Source organism: Homo sapiens, chromosome 6, assembly GCF_000001405.40.
Source record: "Homo sapiens chromosome 6, GRCh38.p14 Primary Assembly".
Lineage (NCBI taxonomy): Eukaryota > Metazoa > Chordata > Mammalia > Primates > Hominidae > Homo > Homo sapiens.
In genome coordinates, this window is record NC_000006.12 from 26,457,846 (window position 1) to 26,484,471 (window position 26,626).

The following is a 26,626-nucleotide window of genomic DNA, read 5'->3' on the forward strand; positions in this document are numbered from 1 at the left end:
ACTGCTGAGAAATAAGGTTCGACACCATTGGCTGGTTCACTCACACCCGGCCAATCCTGGGCTCTAAAATACTTAGGGAACTCTTGGGACTGTGGAAGCCCAGGAGACCAGATTTCGTTTCCTGCATCTCCAAACATGGCGACCTAGGAGAAGGGGAAGAACAATTTTTTCTCCTCTTTTGGGAAGGTTTGTGTCTAGTAGTGCCTGTGCCCCTGGGCAGATTGGAGAGAAGAGGGACGACTGGAGAATCGTCGAGAACCAGCGGAGAAAAGAAAAAGCAACGTTTAATTCTAGAAGGTAGGAAACGGAGGGGAGGCGCTACAGCTCCGGGGTGGGCACAGTAGGTGGGGGAAGCGGGGTCTGCTGTGGACACGAGACGGGGTCCTGGGACAGGGAAAGCCCACCGGTGGGGAGGCGCGGCCTCGCCTGTCTTTGCCTCAGGCTGCCCGGCCTGGGTCGCGGGGAGGAGGAAGTGAAGGGAGGAGGGTGTGGTAGAATCCAGCGACAACTGAAGAAACTGCATTCTGGCCAGAGAAGTGAGCCGAGGAGGGCGGAAAAAGGCCCCCTTGATCTTGGCATTGATGGCTTACTTCATGGAATGTTTAAGGAATCCCTCTCTCGGGACATACCTGAGCCTTCGGATGCAGGGGACTCCCTGAAGTTGGGGCACTGATGAGACCTACTTGAGTGACGGGAGAGGTTGGGCCCGACCAGCACTGAGGTGCCAAGACTCCTAGGCTGATTCTCCTCTGTAACCCTAGGCCTCCTGTCCCTGCCTGCTCTGGGTGCTCATGGAATCAGCTGCTGCCCTGCACTTCTCCCGGCCAGCCTCCCTCCTCCTCCTCCTCCTCAGCCTGTGTGCACTGGTCTCAGGTAGGGATGTGTGCCACTTGCTGCTGTCACCTATCAGAAAGGAACATCAACCCTGTAGTCTGCAAAGGGAAAGAAAGAAGGACTGTGGAGTTGTTGACTTACCCTTTCATTCTGAACATGTTCATTGAATTTATACCAGCACTGTCCAAAAGGAATACAGTGAGGCACAAAGGCCGAGTGCATGTACAATTGCAAATTTTCAAAAAAAATTAAATTTTACTTTTTATTTTAAAAAGTAAAAAGAAACATGAAATAAATTTGTATACTATATTTTGTTTCGCCCCAAATAATCAAATACGAATATTTAAATACTTAGTTAATATACCATATTACCAATGAGATAGTCAACATTTTGAAATTTTAAATCTTCATAATCCTGTGTGTATTTTACACTTACAGCTCATTTCAGTTGGAACTAGCTAGTGGATATGTGTCCTATTGCACGGCTCAAGTTTACAGTACACTCAGGCACAGCACTAGATTGGGAAATCGAGGAAAATCCCCTCAAGGGCACAGGGTGGACAGAGGGTGCTCAGGGCAGGTTCCTCAGGGTTTCCTTCATGAAGCAGAAGCACACTTTATAGTTACTGCTCCCAGGGGTGCTGTCGACTAGCCACAGCTACTGGTCCCCAGATTTCTCAGCCCAAAGAGACCCTATGGCCATGGAAAAAATAAGTTTGTCCCTAGAATATCTGCTTCCTTTCTTGCCTTAGAGATGTGATGGCTGGTGTCTTTGTCTGACTCTACCCCTTTGTTGAACAGCCCAGTTTATTGTCGTGGGGCCCACTGATCCCATCTTGGCCACGGTTGGAGAAAACACTACGTTACGCTGCCATCTGTCACCCGAGAAAAATGCTGAGGACATGGAGGTGCGGTGGTTCCGGTCTCAGTTCTCCCCCGCAGTGTTTGTGTATAAAGGTGGCAGAGAGAGAACAGAGGAGCAGATGGAGGAGTACCGAGGAAGAACCACCTTTGTGAGCAAAGACATCAGCAGGGGCAGCGTGGCCCTGGTCATACACAACATCACAGCCCAGGAAAACGGCACCTACCGCTGTTACTTCCAAGAAGGCAGGTCCTACGATGAGGCCATCCTGCACCTCGTAGTGGCAGGTGCGTCGCTTCATTTTGCTTTGTTACTTTGGCACAGTGTGACTTTGGGGAAAGTTTCTCTCCTAACCTCAGGCCCATTGCAGACCAGCAAATTTTTGTCTGGACTCCCTTTTCCACTCTCCCTGTGGAAACGGAATTCCAGGGAAAAATCCTTCCTCCTGCACAAGGGACACATGAGTGGGTTTGCCCTGCTAAGCTAAGGGCTTCACTTCTTGAGAAGCACATGCAGAATTCAGCTGAGGCCGTGAGCAGGGGAAAATGGTCAGTCTCGGAAGAGAAGTCTTATACCTGCCTTAGGATTGAACTGTGCACTTCTTTTGGGTTTTTTTTTTCTTTTTGAGACAGAGTCTTGCTCTGTTGTACCCTCGCTGGCACGATCTTGTCTCACTGCAACCTCTGCCTCCCAGGTTGCACTTCTGAGAGTGAGAGGAGACACTGTCAATAATTGTTCCAAGACAACTGGAATAAACTGATTACCCAGAGAACTACAACATATCAAATCTTATTTCTTGATAAATATTAATCTTTACTTCATCTTTCCCAAAATGCTGATTGCAGAGAGAGTGACTTATTGTAAATAGATGGTTTTATTAAACCAAGACGAAATACAGAAGCAAAATTATATATAGTTCCTGCTAACTCCATAGAGAAAGACTACGAATTTTGCTGGGAGGTAATAGGGAAGCCTTCCACATAAAAATGCATTTAAACTGGGATTTCTAGGAATTTGTTAAAATGACATTAAGTGATTACTTCAGTTTTGGGGTTAGTGTATTATGCTTTAAAAGATATATTTGGGCTGGGCGTGGTGGCTCATACCTGTAATACGAGCACTTTGGGAGGCAGAGGCAGGTGGATTACTTGAGGCCAGGAGTTCGAGACCAGCCTGGCCAGCATGGTGCAACCCCATCTCTACTAAAAATACAGAAACATTAGCCAGGCTTTGTGGAGTGTGCCTGTAATCTGAGCTTCTTGGGAGGCTGAGGCACAAGAATTGCTTGAACCCAGGAGGCAGAGGTTGCAGGGAGCCGAGATCTTACCACATCACTCCAGCCTGGGCGACAGAGCAAGACTCTGTATCAAAAATTAAACAACAACAAAAAAGATATATTTGAGGACTGAAAAAGCCTTTAAGGTGCAGGATAATCTGTGGTGGCATTTCACTCCATCAGACCAGACAGAGGAGGTGAGGACTAGGGAATTGGGTCTTTCCCTGGGGGCCTCAAATCATAACAGGTAGGAGACCCCATCTTTGCTACACACAAAGGCAACCTTGCATCTGATTAAAGCAGAATATCATGGAAGGAGGGTTTCTTGACCCTGCATCATGACTGTGTTCATAGCAGCACTCCAGGGTTGACCAGTTATGGTTTCTGCGCGGCAGGAATCTGCCATTCTTTGCCTATAAAACTGACAGTGGCCTGGCCTTTCCCACTCTGAATTGGATTGCTTAGGACTTTTTGTTTGTTTGTTCATTGTATTCTCTTTGTTAGGTTGGTTGGTGGCTGATTTTGCCCTTAAATCTATTTTGTCATGCTTGCCTGTATTGAACCTCATAGAATGTTTTGAAGAATTTCGTTTTCCAATTTGCTGAGTTATTTTAATTCTTATTCCACTGAGCCTTTAAATGTACAAGTAGTTTTATCTCTTGATAAAAATTAAAGTGACCCTGGGCCGAGTGCAGTGATTCATGCCTGTAATCCTAGCATTTTGGGAGGCCAAGGCGGGTGGGTCATCCGAGGTCAGGCGCTGGAGACCAGCCTGGCCAACATGGTGAAACCCTGTCTTTACTAAAATTACAAAAAGTATCCAGGCATGGTGGCACATGCCTGTAGTCCCAGCTACTTGGGAGGCTGAGGCCAGAGAATCACTTGAATTCAGGTGGCCTAGGTTGCAATGAGCTGAGATCCTACCATTTCACTCTAGCCTGGGCTACAGAGCAAGACTCTGTCTAAAAAATAAATCAATAAATAAATAAATAAATAAAAATAAGCCTGGGCAACATGGCAAAATCCAGTCTCTACAAAAAGATACAAAAAAAAAGTAGCTGGGCATGGTGGCACATGCCTGTAGTCTCAGCTACTTGGGAGGCTGAGGTGGGAGGATCACCTGACCCTCAGAAATCGAGGATGCAGTGAGCCATGATCATGCTTCTGCATTCCAGCCCAGGCGATAGAGTGAGACTGTGTCAAAAAAAAAAATTTTTTTTTATTAAATTGAGCCAAAGCACCAGACTTAAGTTATTGATTTAATTTCCTGTCTTTGGTAAAATTCTTTGGGAGACTTTACAAAGGAATTACTCAGAAGAAGTTTAGATGGTCACACATGGCTGAAAGGTCTCCCAGGACCACGCTTTTGCAGCTCTTTCATACCTGGTGTTCACTCTTATGGAAGATTCATTTAAAGATGGATTGTAGTTAGGGTGAGTCTAGTTTCTTAGGATTTTTGGTGATGATCTCTGATATTGAAAAAGTGGTATGGTTATCTTAGTCCCTGGATCATCCAGATCTTTCTAATAAGTTGATGTTCTCCAAGTACTATAAGAAAATCACCCAGCCTGGGCAACATGTTAGCCAAGAATGGTGGAAAATGCCTGTAATCCTAGCTAGTTGGGAGACTGAAGCAGGAGGATCTCTTGAGCCCAGGAGTACAAGGCACAGTGAGCTATGATTTTGCCACTGCACTCCAACCTGGACAGCAGAGCTAAAACCCTGTCCCTAAAACAACAAAAGCAATACTGCCTAATGGATGGAGCCTCTGGGAGGTAAACAGTGTGAATTAGGATTAGAGTTGGATTTGCAGGCTAGATCTGTCAAGTCTCCTAAAAACCATCACCTCCTATGGGTGGTAGAAAGCGGTGGTTATGTGAAGTTCTGAACTAGACAGAAGGGTCAATGTCTTTGGATCAAAAGGTTTCTTAGGATTCTGCCCGCCTGGCAGACTTTCGTCCTTCTCGTTATTATTCTAGAGCTTCTGGAAGCTGAGGTCTACTGAGAAGTCGTCCCAGAAGCAGAAAGTGAAATCCAAAACCTGCCTGTTTGAAGTTGGAGTCGACACACCCATCTCAAAGTGAGAAAATTAGTCTGGCAGGATAAATTGAACAAGCATTTATGGCAGACAGATAGATGCTTGGTGCTGTGATGGGGCCTATAGGTGGACCGCAAAGAAAAGGGTGCAATGGGATCCTTTCCTCTTAGAGAGCTCACAGTTTATGTGGCCCATTGGCCTGCTGGTGTTCTCCAACATCAATGTTCTTTCTTCCTTACCCTCATCCTTTTTTTCTTCCTTCCTATTTCTTGTTTCCTATCTCCCTCTTTTTTACCTTTACTTTCTAGCTTCACAGAAGAGATGCAATAGGCACAGAAGAGATGCAAAAGGCACTGACTTTTGCCTGAACCCTGATATCTCTCCACAGGACTAGGCTCTAAGCCCCTCATTTCAATGAGGGGCCATGAAGACGGGGGCATCCGGCTGGAGTGCATATCTAGAGGGTGGTACCCAAAGCCCCTCACAGTGTGGAGGGACCCCTACGGTGGGGTTGCGCCTGCCCTGAAAGAGGTCTCCATGCCTGATGCAGACGGCCTCTTCATGGTCACCACGGCTGTGATCATCAGAGACAAGTCTGTGAGGAACATGTCCTGCTCTATCAACAACACCCTGCTCGGCCAGAAGAAAGAAAGTGTCATTTTTATTCCAGGTTAGTTCTCTGCCCTCTGAGACTCGTCGAGTGCATGGGGGATCCTCAGCACACAGATGGAGCCCAGAACGGGGATGGGGGCAGCAGTGTGGGTGAAATAGTCCTGGGCCCTAAGGACCTGGAGGCTGCAGCTGAGTGAAGCCTTTCCGCTTCTCACAAAAGGAGAATCAAAGTGTCCCAAAACTCAGGAGTAGGAGCCTCTTCTCTGAGGGTAAACCTGTTTTTGTTGTTGTTGTTGTTGTTGTTGTTGTTTTTCCCCCCAATAAGGTCCTTACACTGCTGCAATTTTTTTTTAAGACAAGTTCTTGCTCTGTCACACAGGCTAGCATGCAGTGGCACAATCTTGGCTCACTGCAACCTCCTCCTCCCAGGTTCAAGCAATTCTCATACCTCAGCCTCCCGAAGGCTAGGACTACAGGCACACGCCACCACACCCGGCTAATTTTTGTATTTTTAGTAGAGATGGGGATTTCACCTTGTTGACCAGGCTGTTCTCGAACTCCTGACCTCAAGTGATCCACCTGCCTCAGCCTTCCAAAGTGCTAGGATTACAGGCGTGAGCCACCATACCCGGCCAGCAATTTTTAGACATTGAAAACAACCATAACATATGGAGGGTGGTGTGGATAAGTGACTCTCTACACTTGGTGTTCCTGTATGCTGTAGCCATCCCTTCCTGTGCAGGGGATTTTCCACAGGACAGAGCTGTGGAAATTCCCTATAGACACACACTCACAATTCATTCAACAAATGGTCAAGAAGCATATCGTATGTTCAAAACACTGTTCTACCAAGGGTAAATCATTGAACAAATTATATTAAGAACTCTTCCCTCAAAAAGTGATTAGTTAGCTAACCATATATTCTATCAGATGGTAATGAACATCTATAGGAAACATTAAGCAAGGAAGGAATAAAGAGGCAATGTGAGACATTGCAATTCTTAACAGAATGGTCAGGGAAGACTTCACTGTAAAGATGGGAATTGAGCCATCCCATCTGATGGCAAGGAGTCATCAGATGCTTAAGGACTGAACAACCCAGCTACAGGAAGAGCATATGCAAAGGGCCTGGGGAAGGAACATCTCTGGCAGTTTCCAGGACCCCCAGAAGGTGATGCTGGTGTGGCTGAAATGGAGTGAGTGCAGGAAGTGAAAGGAGATGAATTCACAGAGGCAATGAAAACACATTAAACATGGCATTGTAAGCCACAAACAGTCTTTGGTTTTTAGGGCGAGTGACGTGGAAAGCGTTGGAAGGTTTTGAGCTAAGAAGTATCATGATCACACTAGGGCTGGTCTGTTGAAAATAGACTACAGAAGGTAAGGGCAGAATAAGAAGGAGGGCACCGCAGTATTCCAGGCGTGAGTGATGGTAGCTTGAGGCAGGGTGGTGGCTGTGCCGACTCAGCATGACGGGTTAGCTTTATTCATCCTGGTCCTTCCCATGGTGACTGGTTTGCTACCTCTGGGCCTTGGCCCTGGAAGCCATTGAGGTGTCAGCCAGGTGTGAGCCAGCATCACTTTCTCCATCTGAGTTTTCTGAGGGAGAAAGCAGGAGAGCAGGTGGCTGAGGAGCTCTTCAAGTGTGCTCCTAGGGGCACTCTTACCCCAGATGTTCTGTTTCAAACTAAGTGGATATTTCTGGCTGCCTTTTCAGAATCCTTTATGCCCAGTGTGTCTCCCTGTGCAGTGGCCCTGCCTATCATTGTGGTTATTCTGATGATACCCATTGCCGTATGCATCTATTGGATCAACAAACTCCAAAAGGAAAAAAAGATTCTGTCAGGGGAAAAGGAGTTTGAACGGGAAACAAGAGAAATTGCTCTAAAGGAACTGGAGAAAGAACGTGTGCAAAAAGAGGAAGAACTTCAAGTAAAAGGTAAAAGAGGCTGAGTATGGTGGCTCATGGCTTGAATCCCAGCACTGTGGGAGGCTGAGGCAGGCAGATCACTTGAGCCCTGGAGTTCGAGACCAGCCTGGGCGATAAAGTGAGACCCTGTTTAATTAAAAAAAAAAAGAAAAGAAAAAGAGTAGAAGGACAGTTCACCACCATAGAAAGGACACAGCTCTCCCAGGTACCAGCATACAGAAGAGAGAGGAAATGCACAGCAGCAGCAAGGACTTGGAACTCTCATGTCCTTGGAATGAATCTCTCAGAGCTTTCATTCTTTCACTCTGCCCACCTTGCATTCATTCATCTGGCTACATAAAGTACTAAATGGTTGAGCAAAAGCAAGTGTAACAATGTGCTGGTACTACCCAGCCACCTGATCATACATAATTTCTGGTTTCTGACAGTGCCCTAGGCATGAGGGAAGGGAGATGTTGCTGTTCATAGAAAGGACGGTTCCTGCATTGTTTACTAAAAACCCAACTTCTTTTAGTTCTTCTGTCAAAGACATGATTTTCTTTGTTTGTTTTTCAGAGAAACTTCAAGAAGAATTGCGTAAGTTTAGCCTTTCCTTAACTACATGTACAATTTGAGTTCTGCTCAGCAACATCTCATGACATTCGTCTCTGTCTGTCCCTTGCAGGATGGAGAAGAACATTCTTACATGCTGGTGAGTGCCTCTGATGTTCCCTCAGATCTCAGCTTTCTCCACACTAGCCAGCTAACAGGACTCCTTAGAGGAGATGAGCAAGGGGCCCAGGGCAAGGTGGGGACAGCAGGGAACGGGGGTCAGTTCATCAACAGTGTCCCAGCAATGATGCATCATGTCTCTTCTGTCAGGGAATCCCAGCAGCTCTCAATCCACCCTATGGTTTACATCCCAGGATCCTTTATCTTTTGGAGTAATTTAATGCATGATTACCAGAGGTGTCCCATATATAGTAGCCTTCCTAAGAGTTACATTTCAGTAGTTGTTGTTCTTTGATCCTGGATGAATTTGAAAAAAGACAATGCTATCTTAGCAGCTTATATCCTGGGGATGGTGTAGACTGTGCCAAGTTGAAGACCCATGTAGGGAAGAGGCCAGGAGGGTCCCTAGTAAGCCTGACATAAGGGTGTACCAATAGGTGGCCAGAAATGCCTTTCTGCTCTTAAGAGAACACTAATACTTTGTGTATAGCCTGCCGTGGGAGGGATTTCAGGTGGGTGGGAGAGCACAGAACCCAATTGCCCACTCCCAGTGAGCACTTTTCATCTTATGATTCAGCCCCTCTGCCCATAAGCACCACAGAATCCAAGCTTTACCAGATACCATGGCACATGGACCTTTCCTCTTTAGGTGAATTTCAAAATTGCCACTGTCAACTTGGGACAAAATAGCAAATTGTCACAGCCAGACATATTAACTTGGGGAATGGAGGAAATCATTTTAACACAATAGAAAAGTAGACTGAATAAGTAAGAATAAATACAGATGGGAGAGGTCTGCAGAATGCCCGGAGTCTGGAGCATTTCTTGTACCTACAGAAGTGATATGTGAAGACATCAGACCCATGTTGTTGAAGCAAAACTGGATGGGAATAGTTACTCCCTACATTTGCCCACAGACCCCTCAGGCAACAGGTTTTCTTTTGGGGACATTTATTCTCCTTCTTCATTTTTTGAAGGGTGCCCTTGTTAGTCATTTAAGTCAGTTGTGATCTGGTAAAAGGAACACATAGGACCAATGAAGAGACCCTTTATCCTCCAGGACAGTGTGAAGGGAAAGACTCACCTTAGTTGATCCACCGGGGAGAGGAGGAGCAGGACATAAAGCCTTTGTGCTGGTTTAAGCCAAGTTGGAAAGTTTCTAAGTAAAGAAAATCCCAGAGATCATAGGTCTTCATTTGGGGTTTTGTTTTGTTTTGTTTTGAGATGATGTCTTGCTCTGTCACCCAGGCTGGAGTGCCATGGCACAATCTGGGCTCACTGCAACCTCTGCCTCCCGGGTTCAAGCAATTCTCGTGCCTCAGCCTCCTGAGTAGCTGGGATTACAGGTGTGCACCACCATGCCCGGCTAATTTTTGTATTTTTAGTAGAGATGGGGTTTCACCATGTTGTCCAGGCTGGTCTCGAACTCCTGACCTCAGGTGATCCACCTGCCTCAGCCTCCCAAAGTTCTGGGATTACAGGCGTGAGTCACCACGCCTGGCCAGAGATCATATGTCTTGGATAGAAAAGGGAACACATCTTAGAATGCTGAGAGAAAGTATAAGAATGATTGATTTTACTTCATTTGCTAAACTTTCCGGATTTCTTAGAGCTCCAATTCTTCTCAAACTGAGAGAACTGCTTCTGTCTCTGGAGAGACAGAAGTGCAGCTTCAGTAATTCTCAGTGTGTGAGCTGCCTAGGATCAGAGAGCCTTCATGGAAGTGGCCACTACGTGGGGATCCCTTCAGAGATATCTGAGACCTCTCTGGGGATCAGGAACCACACAATCCCCAGGGTTCCTGAGACCCCAGGCCTAAACCTGAGACTTCCTCTGCAGTTGATGTGGTCCTGGATCCAGACACCGCTCATCCCGATCTCTTCCTGTCAGAGGACCGGAGAAGTGTGAGAAGGTGCCCCTTCAGGCACCTAGGGGAGAGCGTGCCTGACAACCCAGAGAGATTCGACAGTCAGCCTTGTGTCCTAGGCCGGGAGAGCTTCGCTTCAGGGAAACATTACTGGGAGGTGGAGGTGGAAAACGTGATTGAGTGGACTGTGGGGGTCTGTAGAGACAGTGTTGAGAGGAAAGGGGAGGTCCTGCTGATTCCTCAGAATGGCTTCTGGACCTTGGAGATGCATAAAGGGCAATACCGGGCCGTGTCCTCCCCTGATAGGATTCTCCCTTTGAAGGAGTCCCTTTGCCGGGTGGGCGTCTTCCTGGACTATGAAGCTGGAGATGTCTCCTTCTACAACATGAGGGACAGATCGCACATCTACACATGTCCCCGTTCAGCCTTTTCCGTGCCTGTGAGGCCCTTCTTCAGGTTGGGGTGTGAGGACAGCCCCATCTTCATCTGCCCTGCACTCACAGGAGCCAATGGGGTCACGGTGCCTGAAGAGGGCCTGACACTTCACAGAGTGGGGACCCACCAGAGCCTATAGAATCAATTCCTTGGTCTCACAGCCATGTAGACAAGCCCTGGTCATCTCAGCAGCCACCGCACAACACCCCTGGTGGAAGACACGCCCTCCTCCCCTCTGGTCACACAAGAGAACATCTTCCAGCTGCCTCTTTCACACCCACTACAGACCTCAGCCCCAGTTTTCTCCTCCTCACTAGGCTGTGTTTTTAGTAGTTCCTTTGCTTGTAACTATGGGATGGGATCCAGGCATAGGGAACTAGTTGTTACACAGCTCCCAGCCAAGAAGAAAGTGTGAGAAGTTGATGGGCAGCAAACCTGCTGTTTAACATCAGGGTGACCACATTAAGCCCAGTATTCCAGTTGGCACCAGAAGATATGGACTTGGAATGAGGCCTACAGGGTTCACCAGGATGTAAGAGGAGAGAGGAATCCACAGGACCACCAGAGAGGAGAGGGAACCAGATATGCAGATCAGAGATAGAGGAAGTGGAACCAGAGAGCTGGGAGGGACCAAGGTTGTAAGGGTGGCTAAGTCCCACCATAACAGCTAAGGGGACCTGGGAGATGATGGCTCATTTCCACCCAGCCCCAGGATTTCCAGAGCGCACATCCACAGGCCTGGACCTGGGATGAAGATGAATGAAGAACATGGATGCACGTGGATGTAGTTTGGCTCAGGTGTCCCTGCAGTTGGCAAGGAGTCAGTACTCAGTCCCTGAGTGTGGCTGAAATTTGAGGTCCTGGCTGAGCCAAGGAGTAATGGACCAGATCTACCTCAGTATTCAAGTTCAGTGGGGACACCAGTGGCTTCAAACTTCCTGGTTTCATGATATCTTGAGACGCCTTACAAATGATGGAGGATTCCAAAGAGTTTTTGTTTATTTGGGTTAATATTTGTTGGTATTTATGGCATTTGAGATTGAAACTAAGAAATGTTTTAATTTATTACCTTTACAACATTTATTTACATTACATACATACATTTACAACATTTATTAATTTATATTAAAATAGCATGAATAAGCCAATTATAGGTTAATATAAGTAGAATGTTTGTGAAAAATAAGTATGGTATCCAAAGCAAAATAAATTTTATTGTGAAGTGTGGCATTGATTAACTTTTTCCAGATCTAATGTGTGGCTTGAAAGAATATGACTGGATTCTCATATCTGCCTTTATACTCACTCTGTTGAGATATCATAGACTATATAGGCTCAAGAAAACTTTATCCTAGTGACAGAATGAGATTAAAAACAACAAACTGTGTTTTATTATTAATATGAAAATACGATTATTAACCTTGCAGGCCCCTTAAAACAGTTCTGGTTAACTGAGACCTTGTCTCTACCAAAAACAAACAAAAAAAATTAGGTGTGGTAGCGCACGCCTGTAGTCCCTGCTTCAGGAGACTAAAAAGACTAACTCCAACTCCTTGCTTGAGCCAGGAGTTGGAGTTTGCAATGAGCTGTGATCCTGCCATTGCACTCCAGCCTAGGCAACAGAGTGAGACTCTGCCTCAAAAAACCAAAACACAGGTCGGGCACGGTGGCTCACGCCTGTAATCCCAGCACTTTAGGAAGCCGAGGTGGGTGGATCACCTGAGGTCAGGAGTTCAAGACCAGCCTGGTCAACATGGCAAAACCCCATCTCACTAAAAATACAAAAATTAGCCAGGCATGGTGGCGGGCACCTATAATCCCAGCTACTCAGGAGGCTGAGACAGGGAATCCTTGAACCCCAGTGGGGTGGAGGTTGCAGTGAGCCAAGATCGTGCTGCTTCACTCCAGCCTGGGTGAAAGAGTGAAACTCCCGTCTCAAACAAAGAGGGGGAGGGAACTTATGTCAGAGACCCCCCCCACCCCACCCCAGGAATCCTGAAACCATATTTGAGAGTTGGGATAGAGGATTCGGGAAGTAAATCAATGTGATGGTTAATTTTAGGTGTCAACTTGATTGGGTTAAGGAATACCTAGACAACTGATGGAGCATTATTTCTGGATGTGTCTCTGAGGGTGTTTCCAGGGGAGACTGGTATGTGAGTCAGTGGACTGAGTGGAAGAGATCTGCCATCAATATCTTTGGGCACCTTCCAATCAGCTGTGAGCCCAACAGAGCAAAAGGCAGAGGAAAGGTGAATTCTCTCTCTCTCTCTGTCTCTCTGGAACACTCTTCTCTTGCTCTTCAATATCACAACTCCAGGCTCTCCGGCCTTTGGTCTTTGGGACTTATACCAGTGGCCCTGAGGTTCTCAGGCCTTGGGTCTTTGGACTGAGTTACGCCATCAGCTTGGTTCTGAGGCTGTCACACTTTGACTGAGCCATGCTGCCAGAATCTCAGGGTCTCCAGCTTGCAGATGGCCCGTCATGGGATTTCTCAGGCTACATAATTGCATGAGTCAATTCCCTTAATAAATGCCCTCTCATGTCTGTATCCCCTATTGGTTCTGTCTCTCTGGAGAACCCTGACTGAAACGATCAGGCATCTAAAATGCTGGCTTAAATGATAGTGTTTTGGATTTTAGACAACTCAGTAATCCAGTTGTAAAACTGGGTTGAACAAAAAGCTTTTTAAACAGTCTGAAATTATATTACTGAAATTACAAATGACACATTATGGGAAGAATCAGGAACATATATTTAAATACCTGATTTGTTAAGGCAGAAAACAGGGTTGTTTATGTGCATGTTTTAGTCTGCCCAGACAGCTATGACAAATATACCAAGACTGAGTCGTTTATAAACAACCAAAATTTTTTTTCTTGCACTCTGGGGGCTGGGAAATGTAAGACCAAGGCACCAGCAGTTTGGTAACTGGTAAGAGCCTGCATCCTTGTTCACAGCCTTTTAAATGTGTCCTCATATGGCAAAGGAGAAAAGTAGATCTTTGGTTTTTGTCCCAAGAAACTGGAAAGATGGGCCGGGCACGGTGGCTCACGCCCGTCATCCCAGCACTTTGGGAGGCCAAGGCAGGTGGATCACTTAAGGTGAGGAGTTCGTGAACAGCCTGGCCAACATGGTAAAACCCTGTCTGTACTAAAACCCAGAAGGTGGAGGTTGCAGTGCACCACTGCACTCTAGCCTGAGTGGCAGAGTGAGACTCTCAAAAAAGAAAAGAGAGAGAAGGAAGGAAGGAAAGGAAGGAAGGAAGGAAGGAAGGAAAAGTAACTGGAAAGATGAAGTTGTTAATTTCTGAGATGGGGAAACGGAGAGACAAGGAGCAAGACGGGAGTGGTACAGAACCAAAGGTTCAGTTGTGGATACATTAAGGTTGAGGAGTCTATATTAGAGATGCACATGGAGATGCAGAGTAGTCCATTGAATAACCAAGAGTCCAGGTGAGACCTCAAGGCTGGAGATAGAGATTCCATACTCAACTTTCCTATATGTTTGAAGAGTTTCATGATACACTGTAGTGGGTAGAGGGAAGAATTGTATTTTGTTATTAATAACAGTCCTGAATATCATTGGCTTTGACAAAATGAGGACTTCTTTTCATGTCAATAAATATGGATGGTGGCCATCAAGGGCTGATCTGAGAGCTTGAAATGTCATACATGCCCCAGCTTAGTTCTGTCTTTATTTTCTTCTGTCTTAGCATGTGGCTTGCATCTTCAATGTTGCCTCATGGTCACAAAAGGGCTGCCCAGCTCCAAAGTCCATATTCTAGATAAGAGGAAGTAGAAAGTAAGGGGAGTGTAAGGGTCTACCAGCTGTTTTAGCCTCCCCTTAAATAATCTGTCTGATAAACTTCCACCCTCAAGCAATTGGCTCAAACTTAGTCCCTTGGCTTCCCCTGTCTACAAATGAGATGGACACCTTGCAATAAGAAAATGGGATTTTATTACTGAGAAAAGTAGATCTGTTATTGAACAAGCAGCCAGCCAACTCTACCACAGAGCCTAAATTCAAACTGTTGTAGTATCATTTTCTACCAGCCAAGGTTTCAGCTAAGTCCTAGGAGTTTTAATTACTTTAAGGGTCTGTTTTATAACATAAACAAATGATAGGCCTTTATATTTTATTTGTGACCCAACTAAAGTTGCAAGTGCTAGTGATACAGGATTTTTATTTGTCACTTTGCAAGCAGGGGACCTCTGGCCAGCAACACCCCACCCAAGCCTCGCTTGGCTAAACTGGCATGCCCCAGCTCACCTGTGTTATAGCTTATACCCACGTTCAGCAGTTCCTGAGCTCTTGTACCATGCCCAAGAAGAATGAGGATACACTAGACGTTGAAGGGTGAGGAGGGCTGAGAAGAATTTTATCAAGCGACTGAACAGCTCTCAGCAGAGAGGGGATGCTGGCACCCCTACCTGAAGGCAGGAAAGCTCCCCCTGTGTGGCTGGGTCCAGGCCTGTTTTATGGACTCAGAATGGGAAGTGTGTGCTGAATGGTTTGTGAGTATGCAAAAAAGGTTAAAGTGAAGACACCACTCAAAGATGGCCACAACAGTGTAAAAAAACAATTAGGAAAGTGTGGGTATATGGAAAGTAGTTGAAGGGTGGGGACCAATCAGAGGAAAGTGCACCAAACAGGAAGACAAGTTCTCAACAAGTTCTCAATTTGGGCTGAGGATTTACCTTGTAGTTTGGCTTTCAGGCTTTAAACTGTCTTCAGCTTGGAGGTGGGGTATCACTGGGGACCCATTGCTACCTGCCTAGGCATCTGACTGCCTCCTGTCTGCTATCACTAGGTCCCAAGGTTTGTAGCAAGGACCCCTTACAAAGACATCCCCCACAGTCTACCCAAAGGTTAACCTTAGAACATATTTCATTGTCAGAGTGAGAAACAAATACACATGAAAATACAGTATGGCACAAATAAGGAGCAAGAGGTGAAGAAAGCTTCAGTCACACCCAAAATAATTTTGTGAAAAATATAAAATATGCAGTTATAGACAGCACTAACTCTGGATACCAGAAAATTCTATAATTCGGTAATGGATCTGAGACCTGAATTTTGGAGGTACTAAAATAGATGCAATAGATCTAGTTTTCATTATGTTCATACTTTCATTTGGCTCTGTGGTAAAAGATGATAATATCCAAAACAAAAGATGATAATATCCTCCATGTAACAATTACATGCAAGGGGATGTCTGCAAACTGCCACAGTATCATTTTAATTAATACCTATCTTCTCTTCTTAAAATCTTTTCATTTTTCCACTCAGTTCTCCTGATATTTCTGTTATGATATAAAAGACAGCTGAATGTGAAGAAACACTGATTGTACACGTAACACACACATTAATGATTCAAATATGTAAACACAGAGAGCTGCAAACACTTTGAGAGGTAGGGCTGAAACTTTTCGTCAATGTGTACAATTCAATATCGTTTCAGTTTTCATTCTAACCGTCCCCAGTGGCTTCTGCCCAGCAACTGATGAGAAATGGTACCTCTGAGCCAATCAAAACACGAATTCCTACAAAGAGGATTCTCTTAGTGTTTCTCGGACCGAGTGTACAGCACATGCTTTCTTTTCCTTTATTCTGGATCAGAGAATCTTAACTAAAGCAGAAATAATTGTGTTAAATTAAACTAAATTTGGTATGAGATATGTATACATTTAGCCTGAGGGATGGCTCTTGAGCCCTTAAATAATGAACTGCAACCTAACTTAGTATGTAAACTAACTGAAAGCTTAAGGCATGGGAGTATACTTTTGTAACAAATAGCTGAGTCTCAGCCAATCCCAGTAGCCGAACTTCAGTCGGCGGCAGTCAACCCTGCAGCCAAGTGATCAGACTATGTTCAAATAAGGCCAACTCTGAGCTGTAACCAATTAAGCTGTTTCTGTGTGTCACTTCCCTTGTGGAATGGAGCTCACTGAACCTCTCTGATGGCTGCCCGATCGTTCTGATGGTTTGCAAATTGTTCTTTGTTCAAATTAAACCCTGCTAAATTTAATTTGTCTAAAGTTTTTATTAACAACAGAAAACTATTGATTACCTTTTTTTGTGGGCTATGATTTTCAGATAGGAATATTAAGGAGTAAGTGGGGAAAATTGCTTAGAGCCAGGGCTACAAGGCCTGGAAGAAAAGGGACTGAAAAGCTGAGAGGGGAACTGGCACAGAGAAAGGGGTGAGGATGGAGAGGGTAGAATGCAAAGAGTAAGGACCTGAAGAGGCTGAGATTTGGCTGAAGAGGGACAACCTGAATAGAGAAACCTTCCAACTGCATGTTCTTAGGAACTAATTACAGTCAGAAAGGAGCAAAGACTCCTTTTTTTTTTTTTTGTCAGAGTCTCACTGTTGCCCAGGCTGGAGTGCAGTGACACAATCTCGGCTCACTGCAGCATCCACCTTCCCAGCCAAGCAATTCTCTGGCCTCAGCCTCCGGAGTAGCTGGGAATACAGGCATACGCCACCACACCTGGCAAATTTTTTGTATTTTTAATAGAGACGGGGTTTCACCATGTTGGCCAGGCTGGCCGGCCAGGCTGGTACTGAACTCCTGACCTCAAGTGATCCACCCACCTTGGCCTCCCAAAGTGCTGTGATTACAGGCATGAGCCACTGCCCCCAGCCAGGAGACGAAAAGACTCCTAAAATATCTCCTGGTTATGTTTAGGAACATATTCCAAAAGGTTCTAAAAAGAGATGTGCCTTAAAGATTCATATGTATATTGTAAATTTTCAACTCCATATTTTCTAGATGTCCCCAACATCCCCACAACAGCCCGTCAACACCCTGCCCAGGTGACCAAGTACACCAGTGCAACAGGGCTGGTTCCTGCCTGCTTGCCCTTGCTTAACTGTGACCTAGTGACCTCCTCCCATCTTTTGATCTTTATTCCTCTAGTTCACTTCCTTTGTCACTATCTCTCCACCCACACCTACTTGCCTTAATCACCTTAACAGCAAAGGCTGAATTATTGTAAACAAAAGGAGTCTGTCTTTTTAGTGCATGGGTCCCCAAGTATGTATATATGAATATGCAATGAACCCCAGGATACTAAGCTTCACTTAAGGATTTTTTCCTACAAGGACTCAGCTGTCACATTTGGGGGCATTTTGTTTTGTTTTGTGAATGTTTAACCAAGCTAATGGAGGAACTATTGGTACAATGAACTCAAAAAATGTACAGGATCAGCAGGGCATAGTGGCTCACGCCTGTAATTTCAGCACTTTGAGAGGCTGAGTTGGGAGGATCACTTGAGCCCAAAAGTTCAAGATCAGACTGGGAAACATAGTGAGACTTCATCTCTAAAAAATTAAAATAAAATAAAATAAATACAAGGAAAAAAGAAAAATGTACTGGATTGAGGGGAAAAATTTATGATGCAAACAGAAGAGCATTTATGATTGAAGTGAGAGAAGGATAATGGGGGAGGATGGTGAAAGAACATCAATCTAAATTTATATTTAAATTTACATGAATCCAGTGCAGGCAGCATCTCAGGGGAGGGAGGAGTCTATTTTTCTGTTGATTTCCTGGGCTAAATTCCTGACTGACTCATTGCTGAAAGTAAATAACATATTATTATAGTTGAAAGATTTTTTTTTAGTGTAGTGATTTCAAACTGTGCTCATTTATATGCAACCCATGAACGCCTCCCTTCTCCTATGTCTCCTTTTGAGTTGTAGGGCCAGTTTGAAGCTTTATATATCATTTACCAAACTTAGGGTGGTGAGTGGGTGCTGATGGCAGCCTGGTTTGAAAATCTCCACTGGAGAGAAGACACAGCAGGATTCAGATGCAAATGACCAGAGCACTCCAAGTTGGAAAGAACTGCTGAGCGGGTCTGTAGAGCCCATCGCTCTCTCCTGTCTATTCATCAGCTAGGCTGAAGCTCCTGACAGACTCACACCAGTATCTTGCTGCTCCAGAAAGGTCGAAGATGGCAGTTTTCCCAAACTCCGGCTTGCCCAGATGTCTGCTCACCCTCATTCTTCTCCAGCTGCCCAAGCTGGTTTCAGATAGGTCTCTCTCTCTGGCCTGCAGAGTTAAAACATCTCAATAAATATAAAGTATAAAAAGAAGCTGGAGCCCAACCACTTCGGCACATGTTCACAGGATCTCGGGGCTGTGTCACAAGCCACTGGGCACTCATATCTGGCTGAGAATAAATCTCTTGCAATATTTTACAGAGTTTGACTCTTTTTGTTTGACAAAATAAATTCAACTCATAACTGCTGAGTTTGGGCTCTGGGCTGTGGAGTTGTCTGGAAATGGGTGCTGGGCTCCCACTGCTGCCTTTCACTCAAGGCCCCCAGATATAGCAACCATCTCTTAGTATGTAAAGATCTGATCTCAAATCATCAGGAGCTTCCAGGTTATTTCATTTTCCTTTTTTTCTCTTCTTTTCACCGATGTTTGACGTCCAGGTTATTTCTAAGGTGACAGAAAGAAGCAGAACACTTTCTTGTGCCTGATTGATCAGTTGATGTTTTGTAGGCGATAGGATTCAGATAGTAACAGTCCTCCAGTGCGTCCTTCCCACTCTCATTTTCTTCCTCCTCCTCCTCACATCTCAGCCCCAGAGGCCTATTGAAGAATTTCTATTCATTTTACAAAGAAGCTCCTGAAATTTTTATGTTAGTTTTGTCTTTTTATTTTCCTCCTTCTTCTTCTTCCTCTTTTTCTTCTTCCTCTTCTTCTTCTTCACACCACTATACAAAGGAGGAAGTTTAGTTTTGTCTTTTACTTTAAATTACACAAGATTTTTTTTTCTTTCTCTCTCTGTCTCTTTATTATTTTAAATTGTTTGTAGAGATGGAGTCTCGCTCGAACTCCTTAGTTGGCTCAAGTGATCTTCCTGCATTGGCCTCCCAAAGTGCTGGGATTACAGGTGTGAGCCACCGTACCCAGCTGATTTTCTCTTTAACCTGGCAATGACTCTTGTTTCTGTTTTATTATAGAATGGAAACTGGCTCGATCTTGTGCAGGTTAGTGGCTGGGCACTGCTCTGGGTGCTGAGATTTAACCTCTGAGGTATCCAAAGACCTAAAATAAGTGGAAATGAAAAATGCTGATACCCTTTTAGTGATGAACACAGAGATTTTAAGTTGTGGGGAAAAAAAAAAGAAAGAAAGCCTAATACTTCCTTGGAACACAGAGAGGGGCTTTGGAAGATGGCCAAGAGTCCAGCTTCCTGTGAGATTATCTCACGAGGCATTACAAGCCTGGGCACAGTCAACTCTTAACATCACCCTCTGGCTGCTGGTGACAGAGGGAGCCTGGGGGAATGGAGACCCCTTAGCAGGCCAAACAGCCCTCCCCCTGAGGAGACCTATCAACTCCTACAGCAGTGCTCTGTTTCTTAGAAGCAAAAATAGTCCTGTAACCATAACACTCACCAATGGTCAGACTTTTTGTTTCTGTCTTTCTCTCCAGTTGAAGTGACTCTGGACCCAAACATAGCCCTCCCTCACCTCTTTCTTTATTAGGATTCAAATCTGTTTGACTGGAAGATTCATGTCAGAAACTGCCTGAAAAACCAGAGAGATGTGACTCCTGGCCCTGTGTGCTAGGCCTGGAAGCCTTCACCTCGGAGAGACATTACCAGGAAGTGGAGGTGGGAGATGGGAAATAATGGTTGGTTGGAGTCTGTAGGAAGAATGTGATGAAGAAAATTCTCCTTGCTCTTAAGAATGGGATCTGGGCTGTGGAGTCATCTGTAAATGGGTACTGGGCCCTCTCCCCACTCAAGACCCTTCTCTTCTTGTCAGATCCCAGCCCCCTGGTTGAGATTTTCCTGGACTATGAAGCAGGAGGCATCTCCTTCTACAACATGAGTGACAGAACCCCTTATCTATGCTTTCCCCAAAGGCTCTTTCTCTGGCTCCCTTCAGCCTTTATTCTTCTTGTGGTCATGCGATAAAAAGCCCCTGACCACCTGCCCAATTGTTGATGGACTTTCAGGAGGTCACAGTCTTGTGAAGCCTGGGGCCTAAGGAGATTCTGTTGTCCAGAATTCAGAAAATTCTGCCTCCAGAAATACAAATATGCTCTTTTCTAAACAAGTGACAACACAATGTAGCCATAGGCTCCCTTAAGCAGCCACCTCATGTCAACTAATAGTCTTTGCTCTCTAGCCTCTCTCCTCCAAAGTCCATTTCGTCTCCTGAGGCTTCAGCTATTACTGTCAGACCCTCAGTTACTTCTGATGAACAGGGATTAGGCTTGAGAAAATGGAGATGCATTTAGATTGGCAGATATGGGGGACTTCTTAATGTGCTTTTATTGCTGCCTTATCTCTGAAAACAGGTTCTGGGAGTTTGGGAATAAGTCTGAGGGCATATAAAGGATTGAGACTGAGTGACTTAGGAGTGTGAGAGGAAATATCTTGATGTTGAGAACAGGGTTGATGTGGAGGGGTATTCTCTGTGTTATGCATGTAAAAAGAAAAAAAGGAAAAAAAAATCATTACTGGGAAAGAAAACACCCCAAGCTGAAGTCCAAGAAAGGTACACAGAGGAAACACAGAAACAGTTGTGTTAGCAGAAGATGACATGAAACCCAGCTGACAGTGAAATTAGGAAGTTGCCTTGGAATTTCAAGAACTTGCATTCTCAAGTTTATGGTTCTGTGTCCAACAGAGCAGCAAAATCCAGCACTTCTTCTTTTGAGTCTCCATATCGTGCTAACAGAAAGACAAGGGGTCGGGAGATGCAGAGATGAGGAGGAGCTCAAGAGTGACAGTGTTGAAGAGATTCTGAGCAGAACTCCACAGTGATCTGTGTAACTGATATCCAACCCTGATCCCTCCATCGTCTGCCTGTCCAACCCTTGCTTAGATCTCAATGTAACTTCACTTCATTGTGTCCAAGAAGTTCTCTGATCTCTTCCCCTGTGGATTTAGCAACCCTCCATTTTAGAGGCATTTTCAGGAATCTTTTTGCAATGCATCATCTCTATGAAAGCTCAGCTTCCTGCTCCCCAGGCCGATTTAGCCTAACATCCCTGGGCTACACCACTCCGACAGACATGCTGTCAAATTAGTCACCATCTTTCACACAGCCCATCCCCAGCCCACCCTTCACATATACAAAACCTCTTCTACCTACAGATTGTGTTTCTGTAATAGGAATTAGCTCATGTGCTTTTTGTTAATCCTGGAATTATGACAGCATTATAATGTCGGTGTTCCTTTTACTCATACTCAATTTTCTCCCAAATTAATGTGTTATGCCATTGAGGAAGAGTTATTTGAGTACAAAATACACCAGTAGCTAAGCTCAGAAAACCACAGAGAAATGCACTAGCATATGTAATGCCTTTTTGCCCCATGGTTTTCCTTTTGGCTTAAAAGAAACACAAGACCATAGCTTTGTAGATCACATTTTGTACAAAGATGACAACTTCTCCACCTTTAGCCTGTTGTCACAATGTTAGCCCTTACTCCTGTTGGTGTCCTAGAGCCAGCCAGCTTGCACCAGTTTAGGAGAGGTGATTGTTAAATTTTCAGGAAAGTAGTGAGCAAAAATCACTCATAGTAGGAGTATTTACACCACAGAAATTGCCAAACAATACTAAACAAGGCATTTCTTCCTGCATACGATTTATTAGCCCACCATTGCTTTGTTCCCAAATTCAGCAAACTCATCTTTTTGGTATACTTCTTTTTGAGATGGAGTTTTGCTCTTGTTGCCCAGGCTAGAGTGCAATGGTGTGTTCTCAACTCATCGCAATCTCTGCCTCCCAGATTCAAGCGATTTTCCTGCCTCAGCCTCCCGAGTAGCTGGGATTGCAGGCATGTGCCACCATGCTTGGCTAATTTTGTATTTTTAGTAGAGACGGGGTTTCTCCATGTTAGTCAGGCTGGTCTCAAACTCCCGACCTCAGGTGATCCGCCTGCCTCGGCCTCCCAAACTGCTGGGATTACAGGTGTGAGCCACCACACCCAGCCAGTATACTTCTTTCTATTAAGCTACATTCACCTACCTTCAGGTAAAGCCCTACATTTACTATTAAACACGTTTAGTTATTAGGAGTTTGGGTAACTGTGCTAAAAGTATTACTATCATTGATGTTTTTATTAGTGTTCTTTTTTTCTCTTTTTAAGGGTTTTTATGGACAATTTGGTGGGCATTAGGGAATGGGTGCTGCTGATTGGTTGGCTTTATTAGTGTTTTGGAAACAAACCTGCATGGGTTTTTAGTTGTCTAAGCCCAACTCTATTTTTTTGTAAGCCCTGGTGTTTTTGTTGCATGATTTTGCAGAATTCAAGGTGTTTGTTGTTTTTTTTTTCCAGGAAAATAATATGTTGGGTTATTGCAGAACACATACTTTATTTTCTCTAAAATCCCATAAATGCTTGGTTCCAGAATTTCAAGCATCGTTTTTTTGTTTTTGTTTTTGTTTTTTTTTAGAGATGAGGAAGTTGAGGCCAAGAAAAGTGAAAGTATTTAGTTAAAAACACATAGTAAGTGACTGAGCTGCAAGTAAACCAGTCTCCCAGCTATTCATGCAGTAAAATGACTGAACTACAAATGGGAATGAGAACAGATTAAACTAATCTGGAGCCAGAGTTGTCAGAAAGTTCTCTAGGGAAATCCATGAGCATGTCCCCATTGGTTCAAGGATTTCTTATGCAGAGGGAGAGAAATAACGTGATTTCTCTCACATGAACTCAGGGGCCAACTTTGGATAGAACTGAAAGCTGTACCTGAGAAACAAAGAGAAATATTCCTTCCTCCTTCATTTTATACTATTTCCAGCACCAAAACCTTTTCTTCTCTCTGCCTGCCCCCTTCCACACAAACTGTCCAACTCCATTCTCATTTCCCCACTGAGGTGGATGCTGTGGTGCCCTGCCCTGGTCACTCCGTGTTGGACTGAGACACACAATCAACCAGCTGCAGAGAGTGTTGGTGGCTCAGGGCCCTCAGCTGACTCCATACCATGAATTGTTAAAGAGCCAAAGAGAGCCCTGTTGCCCAAGGTTATTCCACCTCTCAGTGAGTGGACCACATCCAATGACTGGAAAACATAGGTGTAAAGGTCCTGGACCCCTTGCACAAGGTACACAACTCTGAAGGGTCACCCCAGTTCCAGAGTTCATTGTGAGACTGCATTATATTTCAACTTTTCCTTCTGTCTATCCTCTTTCCTTAACTTCCTCAAGGTATTGATGCTGCGGGGCTCTCCAGTGGATGTCCTATAGTCTATTTCTCTGGAACCACCAAAGACAGGGATTCTTAAAAGTGTGGTCTGACCCTAAGATTCTTTCAGGGGATCCATGAGGTGAAGACTTTTTTTTTTTTTTTTTTTTGAGATGGAGTCTCACTCTGTCACCCAGGCTGGAGTGCAGTGGTACGATCTCAGCTCACTGCAACCTCTGCCTCCTGGGTTCAAGCTATTCTCCTGTCTCAGCTTCCCGAGTAGCCACCACTCCTGCCTAATTTTTATATTTTTAGTAGAGATGGAGTTTCACCATATTGGTCAAGCTGGTCTCAAACTCCTGACCTCAGGTGATCCACCCATCTCTGCCTCCCAAAGTGCTGAGATTACAGGTGTGAGCCACCGCACCTGGCCAAGACAATGTTTATAATGATACTAAAATGTTATTTGTGGCTGGGCATGGTGGCTCATGCCTGTAATCCCAACGCTTTGGGAGACCAAGGCAGGCAGATCACTTGATGCCAGAAGTTTGAGACCTGCCTGGGCAACATGGTGAAACCCTGATCTCTACAAAAAATACATAAAATTATCTGGGCATGGTGGTGAGTTCCTGTAGTCCCAGCTACTCAGGAGGCTGATGTGGGAGGATCACCTGAGCCTCGGAAGTCGAGGATGCAGTGAGCCATGATCACGCCTCTACACTCCAGCTTGGGTGACAGAGTGAGAACTCTGTTTCAAAAAAAAAAGAAGCGAGAGGATCACTTGAGCCCAGGAATTCAAGACCAGCCTGGACAACATAGTGAGACCCCCATCTCTATTTTTAAAAATAAATAAATAAATTTTTTTTAAGTTATTTGCCTCTTTTACTCACATACTCTCACATGTGTGCATTGGAGTTTTCCAGATGTTGAAGACATGATGACATCATCCCTCTGACACCTATTGGAATGTATGTCACAATGTGTATTATTGTGTTTAAAATGCTGTGTTTTAAGGGCCGGGCATGGTGGCTCACACCTGTAATCCCAGCACTCAGGGAGGCCGAGGCAAGCCGATCACTTGAGCCCAGGAGTCAGACCTGGCCAACATGGTGAAACCTTGTCTCTATGAAAAATAAAAAAATTAGCCAGACATGGTGGTGCATGCCTGTAATCCCAGCTACTAGGAAACTGAGGCAGGAGAATCACTTGAATTTGGGAGGCGGAGGTTGCAGTGAGCCGAGATTGTACCACTACACTCCAGCCAGGGCAACAGAGCGAGACTCTCATTTAAAAAAAAAAAAAAAACCTGTTTTATTTATTTATTTGAGACAGGGTCTCAATCATTCGCCTAGGCTGGAGAGTAGTGGTGCCATCTAGACTCACTGCAACCTTCACCTCCCAGGCTCAAGTGATGTTCCTGCCTCAGCCTCCCACGTAGCTGAAATTACAGGTGCATGCCACCACACATAGCTAATTTTTGTATTTTTTTGTAGAGACAAGGTCTCACTATGTTGCCCAGGCTTGTCTCGAACTCCTGAGCTCAAGCGATCCACCCACCTTGGCCTCCCAACGTGCTGGAGTTACAGATGTGCACCACCACACCCAGCCCAGTTTTAATTTTTAAATGCTAAGTGTTGATAGATATAACTCACATAAATAAAAACTCTCTGGGATTCTCAATTATTTTCAAGAGTATAAGAAGGTCATGAGACCAAAACATCTGAGAATTGCTGCTCTAAGATAACCAAATCTACCCTGGGAGGAAAAGGCTGAGGTTTTAAAGCACAAGTTATTTTCAAATTATATTTTTAGACATTAAACACGTGTGCATGCACGCACACACACACGTAGAGAAGTCAGTGAGAATGGTTAAGTGAGGACTTCTGAAAATCCCTCCCTCCATAAAAGCAGTAAACACTGGCAAAGATTGGCAGAAAAGGCCAGGTGCAGTGGGTCACGCCTGTAATCCCCTGCACTCTGGGAGGCCAAGGCGGGCGAATCAACTGAGGTTGGGATTTCGAGACCAGCCTGACCAACATGGAGAAACCCCATCTCTACTAAAAATACAAAATTAGCCAGGCATTGTGGTGCATGCCTGTAATCCCAGCCACTCAGGAGGCTGAGGCAGGAGAATCTCTTGAACCCAGGAGGCAGAAGTTGCAGTGAGCCAAGATCGTGCCCTTGCACTCTAGCCTGGGCAACAAGAGTGAAACTCCATCTCAAAAAAAAAAAAAATTGCCAGAATCAACTTTCTCAGAACTCTGTAAATTAACCTAAGGCTTGCAGCAATCAGAGTGAATTTTATTCAAGAAAAATGGCTGAACCTCAGTAAGAACAGTACGTTTTATAGGCATTTTAACATGTCCTATTACACTACCACCACCCCACCACAGCTCTGCAGTAGCCTAGAAACCACCCCACAATCACAGTGAAAAACAGCGCCTGACAGTCACTGGAGGGAATAGAAAGGGGTTGGGGCTCCTTCAAAACCCCATTCCTAGAGAATTGTCATTACTAGACATGCCTGGTTGTTCCTTGTGTAGGGGAGGGAAAAATCTGCTTCTCTTTACCCCTCTAGGTTATTTGGCTAGGCTATTAATTAAATTTATCTAAAACAGATTAATAGGAGAAAAACCATTTTAATTACATGCATATGTACAGGAGTCCCTCAAATCTCAAAATATGAGACTCAAAGAAGGGCCGGATGATTGAAGTTAATATAGCATCCTGAGCTACAGAAAGGAGGAAGTCAGGGCTTCTGGGAAACGATGGAGACAAATTATGGGATGGTGAGAGAAGAAAATGTATGGTGAGTAAAGGTTACCTTGTTACAGATAAAAGTTCCCCAAGTGGTAAAACTTGTCTCAAAGCAGTTCTCTTCCTGGTATAA

At 44.8% G+C, this 26,626-nt stretch overlaps 1 protein-coding gene, 1 long non-coding RNA gene and 1 pseudogene across 5 annotated transcripts, besides 5 other annotated features; 2 read left to right on the forward strand and 1 right to left on the reverse strand.

The window, feature by feature from the left end:
• Window positions 110-18,777, forward strand: BTN2A1 (butyrophilin subfamily 2 member A1). Of its 4 annotated transcripts, none has more exons than NM_001197234.3 (8): window positions 110-297; window positions 762-873; window positions 1,636-1,983; window positions 5,399-5,680; window positions 7,340-7,561; window positions 8,108-8,128; window positions 8,217-8,243; window positions 18,277-18,777. In NM_001197234.3, exons 2-8 carry the CDS (start codon window positions 792-794, stop codon window positions 18,285-18,287), a joined length of 993 nt encoding a protein of 330 aa, NP_001184163.1. In that variant the 5' UTR covers window positions 110-297; window positions 762-791; the 3' UTR covers window positions 18,288-18,777. The 4 variants fall into 4 exon arrangements, with proteins under 4 accessions (NP_001184163.1, NP_510961.1, NP_008980.1 ...); NM_078476.4 differs by lacking the exon at window positions 18,277-18,777 and adding an exon at window positions 9,874-11,792; NM_007049.5 differs by lacking the exon at window positions 18,277-18,777 and adding an exon at window positions 10,103-11,792.
• Window positions 141-300: an enhancer, noted in NCBI's record as "active region_24243". NCBI's record gives its function as "activates an Ori minimal core promoter by ATAC-STARR-seq in GM12878 lymphoblastoid cells {active_cell/tissue: GM12878}" and the evidence as "EXISTENCE:reporter gene assay evidence [ECO:0000049][PMID:35858748]".
• Window positions 7,822-9,021: an enhancer, noted in NCBI's record as "BRD4-independent group 4 enhancer chr6:26465895-26467094 (GRCh37/hg19 assembly coordinates)". NCBI's record gives its function as "activates an origin of replication core promoter dependent on BRD2, P300/CBP, MED14 and CDK7 cofactors, and independent of BRD4, by STARR-seq in HCT116 cells {active_cell/tissue: HCT116}" and the evidence as "EXISTENCE:reporter gene assay evidence [ECO:0000049][PMID:35650434]".
• LOC285819 (uncharacterized) lies at window positions 14,099-24,664 on the reverse strand. The gene is made up of 4 exons (NR_038992.1): window positions 24,627-24,664; window positions 19,990-21,275; window positions 18,307-19,636; window positions 14,099-14,348 (listed from the first exon to the last, which is right to left on the reverse strand). It is a non-coding gene; the product is annotated as an uncharacterized LOC285819 (long non-coding RNA).
• Window positions 15,990-16,039: an enhancer, noted in NCBI's record as "active region_24244". NCBI's record gives its function as "activates an Ori minimal core promoter by ATAC-STARR-seq in GM12878 lymphoblastoid cells {active_cell/tissue: GM12878}" and the evidence as "EXISTENCE:reporter gene assay evidence [ECO:0000049][PMID:35858748]".
• Window positions 19,096-20,295: an enhancer, noted in NCBI's record as "BRD4-independent group 4 enhancer chr6:26477169-26478368 (GRCh37/hg19 assembly coordinates)". NCBI's record gives its function as "activates an origin of replication core promoter dependent on BRD2, P300/CBP, MED14 and CDK7 cofactors, and independent of BRD4, by STARR-seq in HCT116 cells {active_cell/tissue: HCT116}" and the evidence as "EXISTENCE:reporter gene assay evidence [ECO:0000049][PMID:35650434]".
• On the forward strand, window positions 20,020-20,676 carry BTN1A1P1 (butyrophilin subfamily 1 member A1 pseudogene 1; annotated as a pseudogene).
• Window positions 20,297-20,732: a transcriptional cis regulatory region, noted in NCBI's record as "candidate enhancer chr6.1165 targeted for multiplex CRISPR interference". NCBI's record gives its function as "positively regulates H2BC5 and H2B gene expression with high confidence in K562 cells {active_cell/tissue: K562}" and the evidence as "EXISTENCE:mutant phenotype evidence [ECO:0000015][PMID:30612741]".
• Window positions 24,665-26,626: the final 1,962 nt, after the last annotated feature.

Excerpts from the sequence above, each read along its gene's own strand:
- BTN2A1 (NM_007049.5), top strand. The coding sequence starts at position 792 with ATGGAATCAGCTGCTGCCCTGCACTTCTCCCGGCCAGCCTCCCTCCTC. Across the intron at positions 1,984-5,398 it reads CCTGCACCTCGTAGTGGCAG|GACTAGGCTCTAAGCCCCTC; the intron begins GTGCGTCGCTTC and ends ATCTCTCCACAG. Across the intron at positions 7,562-8,107 it reads GGAAGAACTTCAAGTAAAAG|AGAAACTTCAAGAAGAATTG; the intron begins GTAAAAGAGGCT and ends TTTGTTTTTCAG.